The sequence below is a fragment of the Homo sapiens genome, chromosome 4 (assembly GCF_000001405.40).
Source record: "Homo sapiens chromosome 4, GRCh38.p14 Primary Assembly".
NCBI classification, from domain to species: Eukaryota; Metazoa; Chordata; class Mammalia; order Primates; family Hominidae; genus Homo; species Homo sapiens.
In genome coordinates this window covers 36,354,780-36,367,370 of record NC_000004.12, presented here as the reverse complement: position 1 = coordinate 36,367,370, position 12,591 = coordinate 36,354,780, and the positions used below count along the sequence as shown (strand labels likewise).

The following is a 12,591-nucleotide window of genomic DNA, read 5'->3' as shown; positions in this document are numbered from 1 at the left end:
TATTTTTCCTTTTAAAACTTTGTGTCTATCACTTGTTAAGGTTTGGCAGATGCACAAGTCCTAAAAAAATAATGCTGGACCAGCATTTTAAGATGATAGCTAAAGACACTGAAACAGACAAAATTGAACTTAATATGGACTCCAGTCACTTCCTTCAAACTTCCTTTGTCGCTCAAATGTGACTGAAAGGGTTTTGACACTGATTCCTAATCATCAATCACTCCCTGTGATATGGGACAAGACCAGCAGCTGAGATAGATCCATCCCAACATGAGGGCACATCTAAACCTATCTATAGGATTATTCATCAGTGATGCTTTTGGAGAAAGATCTTGATCAAAAGGGGGAACTGTGAAAGTTGGCAAAATCAAGATGGTGTCAATAATATTAAGAAAACCCTGGGCCAGGCACGGTGGCTCACGCCTATAATCCCAGCACTTTGGGAGGCTGAGGCAGGAGGATCACGAGGTCAGGAGATCGAGACCCTCCTGGCTAACACAGTGAAACCCCATCTCTACTAAAAATACAAAATAATTAGCCGGGTGTGGTGTCTGGCACCTGTAGTCCCAGCTACTCAGGAGGGAGGCTAAGGCAGGAGAATGGCGTGAACCCGGGAGGCAGAGCTTGCAGTGAGCCGATATCACACCACTGCACTCCAGCCTAGGCAACAGAGCGAGTCTATGTCTAAAAAAAAAAAAAAACCAAATACAAAAACAAAAACAAAAACCCTGAAAAATAGAATTAAGGGAGGCCATGAAGAGAGGGTTCTCACATTTGTATGCCTGATAATGAAAAAGACTCCACAAAACCACAACCTTGCACAAAGTCCATCCAAAACTTACACAAAGAAAATGCTTCTGCAAGTGTATCTGTTCAGTAACTGCACATCTAACCTTGAACTGGCATTACTCACCCTTGTTATTGATTTTTGCAGCCAAAGATAATTATTTAAAAACAATTATCTAATTCTCATTAATTTCTTTTAAAAACTTTTGTCTTCCTTTACCTCCTTGGATATGCACATAGTGTACTACAGCATGCATATCCCTATTCTAATACTCTATTCCCAAATGAACATCTTTTCTCTTAGGAAACCTCTCTCTGTTATTTAGGTTGACAGCCCTAATATAGCCAAATAACTACATTCCCAGTTTGGCTGGCAAACAGAGTACTATGGAAGCCCCCAGCTTCAAACTAATGAATAGAGACTTTCCCACTGATGCTTCCAAATGGTGCATGGAAGGTTTAAATTTTCATCTGTTACTGTCACTCATGATGCAAATGTCACTGCAGGTAGGCTTTTGACTTTTCACTTGCCAAGGAAAGTATCTTTGCAGAGTCCAGGAAGAGATGGATGTGTTTTCAAGCAAGTCTCCTATGTTCACTTGTCAGATTAATGAACAAAGCAGATATTTCAACTAACAAAAGAGTGGGCATCCTTCTCTGAAGCAAGGACCACAATCCATCAGTCTAATGCTTCTGCCAGGGCTCAGGGAGAGGCATCCTCCTGTTCTTATTTACTTGGCCTCAGCATCGATCCAGGTGCTTTCTATTGGATAGAAATCATTCAATCATAATGCCCTTTAGAGTCAGCCTTAAGTTCCCTGTACTTTAACTCCCAATTTGTATGAAAAGCTTATCCGGATATGACATTTCTTATAAAAGCATTGACATTTAGTTTTTCTGCTCTTCAAATTTTTTTTTTCTTGAAACCTTGGCAGACACTAATTGCACTTCTGATCTATTTTCAGAAAACTGAAATAGAGAGCTGTGCTCTTATTTGATGCCCATGCTTTGTAGAGGCCCTTCTCTACCTTTTCTCCCTGGTAGATTTATGGTGCTTGACTCACATTCATTCCATGTACATGATCTACTTGATGCAAAAAGCAACCCTACCTTCATTTTTACCCACAGCACACCTTGTACCTATCTCTGTCCTAGCACTTGACACTTGGAGCATATAATTCTCCCACACAAGTATGATCTTCTTGAGAACAAAAACTGACTTATTTATCTCTGTATGCTTGATAACAGTAGATGCTCAATAAAATGTTTGCTGATTAGTGTGATGAATGGATAAAGACATAGATGGGCAGAAGGAAGGAAACTGCATGTATCAGAGTCAAATCGCTCTCAGCATGAAGACAGAGGAGGAGAAATCTGATTTGCCCCAGGCCCCAGAGAAGCAAAATTAATGAAACATTTATCTAATTCTCAATATAGCTGATTAGTGATGCAATGCAGGGGTTACCTACTAATTAGTCTTCTAGAAACACTCCTTATAAGTAGAAATTCTGAAAACCTTTTGACTAGTTGTAACTAGTTGATAATCACAGTACCATCTTTCTCAGCCAGGAATAATCAGGGTGGCACATAAGGTGAGATGGGGAGGTAATTGATTGACTTTCTTCCCACTCAGTCTGAGTTTGAATAAACTCAGTTGGTGAGACATATATTGGCATATATGATAAGTCAAAAGTGATTCAGAGATTTCCCAGAAATCAGGATAACTAGGAAGCCTTTTTTTAAAATTTGAGGGATTGCCTTTTGGCCTCTCTGCTTCCAATAAATTCTAAGCTGTAAAATGAAACTTTTTACTTCCCTATGTTCATCTGAATTTATTTTCTTTTTCCCTTATAAATGATAGTAATCATTATTTACTCATAATTTTTACCTAAAAACTGAGTTTCAGCTAGTCTCAAAAAGGCTTTTGCTGAAAATATATGAAAAACCACCCAAAAGAGCAACCTCACAAATAGGAAAATTGATGAACCTTCTTATGGTTGGAACTGAGAGAGGCCAGGAAGGTCCCATGCCAACCTCACCACCTACCACATGTCAAAATGTTTACATTTGCACATGGAAGTGTATACATTTCCATATTACATTTTTCAAGCTTTTGGAGGCCCTTCATGGGAGTGATAACACTTGCTAGTGTCAAATAGTCTTCGAATTGAGTTTGCCAGGTATGTGACACATGGGCTGTCATGCCATCTTCATTCTCCCTCCTTCTCCTACAGGCTGATCTTAGCATTCAAAGCCTCAGATTCCTCAGGACAGATTTCCAGGCAGCTGTCAGCAAGGGATTGAAATTGGCCTGCAAAATGATACCTGTTTGCTCTCCCAGCTCTAAGGAGACTTACTGACAGCTGGCAAATATCAAGAAATTCACCTATCTTGATCTCAGTATAAGGTGATGTAAGTGATCATGGAAAAAATCCCTGTGGTAATTCTGTGATTATCAGTAATCAAAATGTTAGAATGACTCTAAAGGAAAAGATAGTAATCTGGATGGCTCAACACTTGAGGGAAATGAGTGACATAAGGTTTTTTTTTAAAATGTATAAGGAAGTGTTATTTATACTTATTATACTTATTATACAATAAGAAATCTTCATCCTAATTGACTTTGTGTATAATTACTCCATATCCATTTTGAATATTGTCAAGCAGGACCCCAAGAGAAAGAAAGAAAGATAGGCGTTTGGTTTTCCCTCAGGAAGTGTTCAGTCTGAGGGAGAGTTATGTTGTTGAGCTAAGGAAGCATACAGAATCATCAAGCAATTGAATGAGTACAAACCCAGGACAGAGAGATCACAATTTTGTCTGTGAGATAAGCTGGGAAATAGCATGGTATAGTATAGTCACTTAACTGTTTTAATTCGGTGTTTCCCAAATCTCACTTATTCTTAAACCATCTTTACAGTTTTTTAGCCATTTCCACATACTACTGGTATAATTATTTAAATGATATTTAAAAATCAACTTGTTGACTTTTAAATAATCTTTTTATTTTAGAATTTTTTTTGTCTTAAAGAAAAATTGTGAAGATAGTACAGAGAGTTCCTACATACCTCACACTCAATTTTTCTTATTATTAACATCTGGTGTCAGGAGAGTGCCTTTACCATGATTAATGACTCAAGACTGATACATTATTATTAACTAAAGGCCATAGTTTACTTATAATTCCTTAGTTTTTTATTTAACTAATAAAAACATTACTTTTGCCATTACTTTTAATGGCAAAAACCACAATTACTTTTGCACCAACTAGTATTTTATATCCTTTTTATCTTCTAGGATCCCATCCAGAATACACAGTACATTTAGTCATCATGTCTGCCTAGGATCCTCTTAGCTGTGACTAAGTCTTTCTTTGTTTTTGATGACCTTGACAGTTTGGGAGAGTATGGGTCAGGTATTTTGTAGAGTGTTTCTTAACTGGAATTTGTCTAATGTTTTTCTCATGATTAGACGGGGTTATAAGTTTTGTGAGGAAGACCACCGAGGTAAAGTTCCCTTCTGGTCACATCCTATCAGGATTACACACTGTCTAGATGAGTTATCTCCGTTGATGTTAGCTTATTTATTTTTCACTTCAGCCTCACTTCAGAAGTCAGGATCAGATCACGGTTTAGATGTGCTGTTTGTATTTTCTAATACATTTTTCACAGTCTTTTATCTTTGTGTTTCAGTTTAGGCAATTTCTGTCAACCAGTCTTGAAGTTCACTGATTCTTTTCTCAGCTGTGTCAAGTCCACTGATGAGATCACATAAGCTATCATCCCTGTTCTCTACTTTTATTTCCAGTATTTTCATTTGACATCTTCCTGCAGTTTCCATCTCTCCGCTGAATTATCCACCTGTTCATCCATATTGTCCAACTTTTCCACTAGAGCTTTTAACATATCAGTCATGGTCATGTGAAATTGTGGTCAGATAGCTCCAATATCTGGGTCATATCTGCGTATGTCTTTATTTATTGCTTTGCCCATTGACGGTGTAACATATGTTGCTTACTTCTGTGTGTGTTTCATAATTGTACTGAAAGTTTAACATTGTGGGTAGGACAGCAGAGACTGAAGTAAATAGCATTCCTGCCTGGAAATGGGTATAGCTCTTTAGCTAGGCTTTTAGTGTATGGGAATGCAGGGAAAGAGTGGAGTCAATATAGGTAAGAGTTGAGCTGGATTTGAGTTTAGCTGTTGTGGTGATACCTTCAGTGCCTCACTGGCTTCCATTTCCTCTACTGTCACCTTGTGCTTAGGGGTTGGTTTTCTGGAAGTCTTCTCACCATGTTCCTGCTCTACTCTCAGCTCTAGGTTTTCCCTGTGCTCTTGCCCTTCAGAGAGGCTTTCTCTGCAAGATTTTGGCCCTCCCCAGTCCAAGATAGCTATTGTTTTTTAGGTGGTGCTTGCTAGCCTGCTGATGGTGGGCAGCAGGATTTTCTGTTGCCCTGATTCAGCCTCGTATCACTGCATCTCAGGGCTCTCACAATGATCCTTCTCCCTCAGTGGTAGAAAATCTCTTGTGGTCTGGCCCAGTAGGTTTTGTGCCCCTACCAAGATGTACAGAACATTTTCCTTTCACGAGCTACAGTGGGTCCTGACCTGCGACCTGGGCGTGGTAGGGTTTGCTGTTCTTCCCAGTGACATAGGCATTTTTTCCCAGAGGAAGAAGCATCCAAATGGAATGTCTTTCTCCCAGGTTGTGATCTCTCCCTTTCTCCAGGCCTGAACCACAAGGGAAACTTTCTCTCTTTTCCCACCTGACCCCAGTCTTTCTTGTGAACACCCAGTGGAGAGTTGCGAATAGCCTGCACGCAGATACAAATTCCCCTTCTGTTATCAGTTCCCAGGGCTTCTATATTCTCACACTTTTCCACACTCCACTTTTAGCAACTCTTCTTTAAATTTTAGCTGAACTCTTCCTAAAACTTGCTTGGAAGCCCCATCTTTCATCTGTGATCTTTCAGGTGAGTCAGAATATGTGGCTTATATTTCCCTCCATAGAAGTACCTATTTTCCTTCAACTTTGGGGTAGATGATAGACCTGTGACCTCAGCTCTCTAATGCATTCAGGAAACTGTATCATTTTGCAGAATACCTTGCTATTTCTGGCTGTTAGAGTGTAAGCAATGCTTTTCTCAGTTTTTATATCCTATGCAAAAGCCAGAAGTCCCTGTTACATTTTCAAATAAACATAAAATAACTTTTCAACGTTCATCCTCATCTACCTGGAATTATCTAGTTTACTACCATATTATACATATCAGACTTTGGGAGATTTTCCTGTACTAAAAGAAAAATGGACTGGATATCAAGAACCCTGGATTGTACCCCTGCTGTACCACTAACTAGGTGTGTAGCCTGTGGAAAGTTATTTATACATTTTGGATTTCAGTTTTCTCATCTGCAAAATGAAGGTGTCACATCTCATTGATCCTGAAGATTCCTTTCTAGCTCTAACTTTGATTATGTTTCATATTTTTAGAAGAAAAACATATTTTCACATGCTTTTAATTGTGTGTACATTCTTTACTGAACAGAGAGCTGAAATTAGAACTTAGACAAATGTTCCCTGTAATTTAAGTACTTCCTGGCAGCAAGTTACATGCTTGATAAATTCACTGAATGGTAAATGTTACTTTAGGAAGTGAGAATAGTAAACAGCTGACAAAGAAGGCCTGTGCTTTACTGGCTGAATAGTTCATTAATTTCAATAATTGATTTAATTATTGGCAAAATATAAATCTAGATCAGCTGTGACTCCACACATAGAAAAAAAATGAGATTTTCTGTAAATAATAGCCATAGAATTGCACCTCAGATTTCCAAAAGGAAGTTCAGTTTATAACTCACATGAAAACCAAATTTTACAGGATCTACATATTTTATAAAATATATCTATGTGTTCACTTTATTATTTACTTTTTACATTAAAGGGAGTATCCAACTAAATACTACATGTATTTAAGTGTTAATGTTAAGGTTTATCTGTTTTTAAGATTTCAATTTGTCTTGATTTAAAGCATAAATAAAAATTACTTGTTGAATTGTTTTACAGTAGAAAAGCACAGGATTTAATATAAATTTTAATAGTGAAATATACATGCAAGCATATTTATTTTTGGCTTGTCATCTCTCTGCTTGTCCCCAGAAGAGATATTCATTTTTTAACCTATTTGTTTATTCTTGTTCTCTAACTTTATTTGATAAATTTGACATGGAATTTGTGAAAATGTCAAATATTACATTAGAAATATTGCATTTATGTTGGTAATATATTTAAACTGACCATAGCATTGCCCTATCATACTGGCCATTTTCCGATTATTGTGAAAGAGCGGTGCTTCTGATTGATCAGCAGTGTTGTTCTAGGTGAAATATGGGATTCAGAGCCTTTGGTTCCCAAAAGCAGTGTCGGACTCCAGGTGACCTTTCAGGTACATTGTGCCCAAACCTCTACTCCTCTCCTCTGCAGTGTTGGGTCAAACTCAAGAAATTTCTCCTGTAATTCATCTTTTTGTCCTTTGAATTAACTTATTATGATTAAATTTGTTGACTGAACATAATGCACAAATGTCACATGTGATGATGTAGTAAGGCATACACAAATATAAGTAAGGCAATTTTTGCTTTTAATATGCTTATAATTTTAGGAAAAACATAAGTAAATATCCAACGTTGTGAGGATGAGCATCAAACCTGATAATCAAACAAGCTCTATAGTTTCAAACATGATACCATACATTTTTGCAGTGCCTTATAGCAATGATTGTGAAATCTGATTGTCAGGATTATTTGAGGAACCTACTAAATTAGAATCTCCAGGTTTGGGCCTAGGATTTGAATATTTAGAAAACACAACAGTGATTCTGATAACCATCCAGGTTTGGCAGCCACATCTTTTGAGTTTAGCAAAGTGAAGAAGAGTTTCTTTAACCTATTTTTTTTTTCTGGTAAGATAGCCATAATTTTATGGAGGGATGTACTTTAACTAATGCATGGATACAGAAGGAAGGTGAACCATGGTGTTATCAGAGCTTTAAGGAAGAAGAAACTGCTCAGCATTAGCATGGATAAATGTGTTGATTGCATTATTCCTTGTCACTATGAGTGTATCAAGTAACCCTGGCACTCTCCTGATCATCAAGATGTATTTAGGATGGTCCAAATACTGCGAGGTGAAGGTTCTTGGTCACGGGTTTTGCTGTGATCTCTTCTCCTCATAGTGATGCGAAAGAAGCTATTGTGCTATAATCATGGGCAAAGGCAGCCTATGGACAGTCAAATGATTGATAATGTTGAGTTTGAGCAAATCGCCAAGAATTAGTAATAGCGTTGAAGGGCTTCCTGTGTATGAGAGAATGCTCTAAATCTCTCCCTACCTGTGCTCTTATCAGTTATGTGAACTAAAAATTCACTCTGTTATCTAACCTAGTTTGAATTAAATTTCATCCTACTTTCAACCTACACTACCTAATGAATATGCTCATCAAACATTTATTGAGTACCAATTTTGTGTTATGCACTTTCTCAGCACTTGGGGCATATAAACAAACATAACTGAGAACCTGCTTGCATTTTGTTGACTAGATGCTCACAGCTATATCACAAATTACTAATAACTGGATATAGTTGCTTCTTTGGGGATGGGGCTTCTACAGTGTTTGTACCTGACCAGCAAGTCTAGTCATCTGATTAATGTGATCATTTATTCAGTAATGATTTATGAGAGCTTTGGGAGCTAATCATCTGAGTTAATCCACATTAATGTATCTTTTAGGTAATATGCTTCTTTTCCCAGATAATAAACTATTGCAACATCGTTCAAATGTCTCTGCTTCCAGGAGGAATTTAGAGCCAGGGTGGAGTTTTCCATATTTCAGTTTCCATCAGAAGACTGCCTGCTATATGCGTAAAAGGACAGATCTTGTTTTTCACCCTTAATCACGATTTCGACTTACCAAGCTTGCCAAAAACTTTAGTTTGAAGTGGATGAACGTTGTGTGGAACTCTGTTTTTTTCTCATAGTCTACTATTTCCTTTGGGCCCCCATTTGCTCAACTTCCACTCCATTCTATTAGAACATCCTCTAAGGAAAGGATTGTACATATGTGTTGCCCGATGGAAAGACTTCAGCCAGGATCTCTTTTGCTTGGTCAGCATTTGAATGAAGTCCAATCCAGCTCACAATCCTGCACGCCCCAGCTGTGAGGGCTTTGCACTTTTACATTTCCTGCTTGTCTCCTCAGGTGTTTGGCTTTCTCCTGCCCCAACCTGATGTTCTAATAGCAGTTACTCATACTTTCGGGAGAATTTTGCTCCATGTGTCTCCTGTCTGAAATATTCGTACTATCTTATTTCTTCTTGAAATACTAATGGCAAGCAGGTAAAAGAGACTTGGAAGGGAAAAAAAGCATCTGGCTCAACCTGTGTGTTCCAATACGGCTTCCATTTAACCCTGTCATCCCCTAAAGCTATTGGATTTTTTTAAATTAACTTATTTAAATCACTTTGTTTCCTGTTTTATCTATTTTCTGTTTTTGATATTAGTTTCTGTCAATGAGATTACTTAGTAAATTCTCAAGAGACAGTTGGCGTTATGTACTTGGTTCAACACTTGGCAAGAGTACACAATCACTAATGAACTTTTTGATATTAAATATTTTAACAATTATGTTCCTTGGACTATTAATACTAAAGAAAAATATTTTTAATTCAAAACCCCTTGTGAAGAGCGTAACTCTTGAAAACTAAAGACTTTGAAGTGCTCCTGTTCCTGTTGGTTGTATCTAACTATACTTTCCGTGTTTTTAATTAAAACAGAAATTCTATTTTTTTGAGACAGAGTCTCACTGTGTCACCTAGGCTGGAGTGCCATGGTGCGATCTCAATTCATTGCAACCTCTGCCTCCCAGATTCAAGTGATTCTCCTGCCTCAGCCTCCCAAGTAGCTGGGATTACAGGTGTCCACTAACATACCTGGCTAATTTTTGTATTTTTAGTAGAGATGGGGTTTCACCATGTTGGTCAGGCTGGTCATGAACTCCTGACCTCAAGTGATCTGCCTTCCTCAATCTCCCGATGTGCTGGGATTACAGGTGTGAGCCACTGCATGTGGCCAAAACAGAAACTCTTGGTATTTTTATTGATTAATTCATTTATAAATAACAACTATATTAAACCCATTATATGTTAACATAAATAACATTTTCACTAAAATAACTATATTTTCCAAAACAAATAAAAATGAAAAAAGTGACATTGTTTAAATTTTTGCAAATTTCTTTAACATCTGGTTTAATACAACTCAGCTGAAGTCTCATATCTTCTTTTTCATTCAATCATCACACATCACGTAGCCTCTGCAAAACTCCACTGTCTACTAATAAAAATGTAAAAGAAAAGGGCAAATAACATCTTAGTAGCACCATAAAATGCCCTTACCTTGTCTTTTGAGATTCCATGAAAAGGTTGCAGAGACCTTGCCACTGCCACCATGTTTTGAGAGCTGCTACTCTGAGTGATAATCAAACTTAAAGAAACATCAGAGGCATCTTACTATAAGCATCATCTGGAATAGCAAAAATGGCATGTAGAGTTTCATCATGAAAAATGTGAAGAAAACCAAACATATAGTTTTATTTGTCCAACCATGTAGCTTGATATTTACCTGCTCAGATGGGAAGGCGACAGGAGAGAGACATCACCCAGCACCTCCAGTTCTGTGGCTGCCAGGTTTTCTGATGGTGTGAGCATAACCACGAAGGTCCTGGTGTATGGCACATGACTTGGCCTTAACATCTTTATTATTCTCATCATTTAGAAAGAGAGTTTATGTCTCCCGCCATGAACCCTTCTAACAAATTGATGAAGCCTATAAATTCTATTCAGAATACTATTTTCAGTGTTAAAAATAAAATGCATAAAATTAAAAAGAAAAATTTATATTAAAATAAGTTACTAACATGTTTTATTGAGACATAATAAGAAATGGCCTTTATAATAACTCATAATCAAATCTAATGACAGATAAATAGCCAATATTATGTCAGAGTGGTGATGTGCATAAACCATATTTCAAGATATCTGAAACCATTGTAGGATGATATGAAAATATGTCTTATTTATATTGGGACAAAGTCAGGTACAACTAATATTTCTGTGGTTTGTTGCCTACATTCATAGTAGTTTAGTAAAATATAAATGCAATTGTTTAAACCATCTTTTTCTTTTTTATACTCTCCCTGAAATCTATCCATAGATGATTGGAGATCTACTAACTCTAGGTTCAGTAATGTTTTAGACAGAAATGTTTCTGAAAATGTTATCCTTGGAGCAGCAGCATCACAATCACCAAGAAACTTGTTGGAATTGCAAATTCAAGGGTCTCACTCCAGACCTCCTGGATCAACAACTGAAGTGGGGTACAGAAATCTGTGTTTCTCCAGATGCTGATGCACACGAATGTGTGGGCACTAATGTTCTAATAGTTCATTAACTGTACTCATGAGCAAAGTGTGTCCTGCATTAAGGAAAAGGCAGTCAACCAAGGCACATAGTCAAGAACTGAAGCAAAAGGGATCCCTTTTAGAGGTTATGCAAAATTTCTTGCACAGAAGGATCCATGCAAGATCACAGAATACTAGGAAAATAGAAGAGGGCTTGGAGACCATCTGCTCTGGGAGTAATATTCATGTTAAATGACAATTCAATTATGTTCATACGTGTGTTGAAAACTACAAAGTTTAAGAATGAGGGTTTTGGTCAAGTTTTAATAAATGAATGAATGAATAGGGTCAGGTTTAACTATCTATATAGATGAATGTGGAGATGGCGGAAAGTAACAACCCTCAAGCAGTATATTTGCTATCTTAAATATTTCCAACTCTTTTATCTGTAACTAGAAAAAGATTTTTGAAGCAAATATGTAGGAACTTTCCAAAAGTCATCAGAAAATTAGTTCCAGAGCCTGAACTAGGAACTCGGGACCTCTAACCCATAATCTAATAATGATGCTCTCTTATATGTCATAGGGCAGTAACTTCACAGCCTGTACAATTTTATATGCTCAGACCTCAGAGTCTCCTCCAGAAGATAGATTGTTTCTTTCCAAGATTTTATAAACTAGATAAATAACTCCTTTAGATATATCACATTCTGGCCAGGTGTGGTGGCTCACGCCTGTAGTCCCAGCGCTTTGGGGAGGCCGAGGTGGGTAGATCGAGACCAGCCTGGCCAACACAGCAAAACCCCGTCTCTACTAAAAGCACACATGCACACACACACATACACACACACACAAAACAGCTGGGTGTGGTGACGGGTGCCTGTAATCCCAGCTACTCAGAAGAATCGCTTGAATCTGGAAGGCAGAGGTTGCAGTGAGCCAAGATCACGCTATTGCACTCCAGCCTGGTTGACAGAGCGAGACCCTGTCTCAAAAAAGAAAAAAAAAAGAGAGAGAGAGAGAGAGATCACATTCCATTAAATGATTAGGATTGGAGTGGCAGTTTAAGTTGTTTACATGCTATTCAAAACATTGGAAACCCCAAGCCAAACCAAGCCAAGCCAAGCCATCATTGCTTCTATAAACGCAATTTAAGACATCAATTGAAACAATGTTACTAAACAAAGAGAAAGTAGGATTGTTTTCTTGAATGAAGACATATAATTCAATGTAACAAGTTAAAATGAAAAAAAAAAAGAAAGAAAATCAGATCTGGAAATAGGGCATTCTAATTGTAAATACCAATGAATAATGGAGCACACTTCAAGGGAAACACTAGGAGATTCATTGCTG

At 37.5% G+C, this 12,591-nt stretch overlaps 1 long non-coding RNA gene across 1 annotated transcript; it reads right to left on the bottom strand.

Moving 5' to 3' along the window:
• Positions 1 to 956: 956 nt before the first annotated feature.
• On the bottom strand, positions 957 to 12,001 carry LOC105374399 (uncharacterized). The gene is made up of 3 exons (XR_925195.3): positions 10,462 to 12,001; positions 10,236 to 10,362; positions 957 to 1,549 (listed from the first exon to the last, which is right to left on the bottom strand). It is a non-coding gene; the product is annotated as an uncharacterized LOC105374399 (long non-coding RNA).
• Between the last annotated feature and the right edge of the window lie 590 nt (positions 12,002 to 12,591).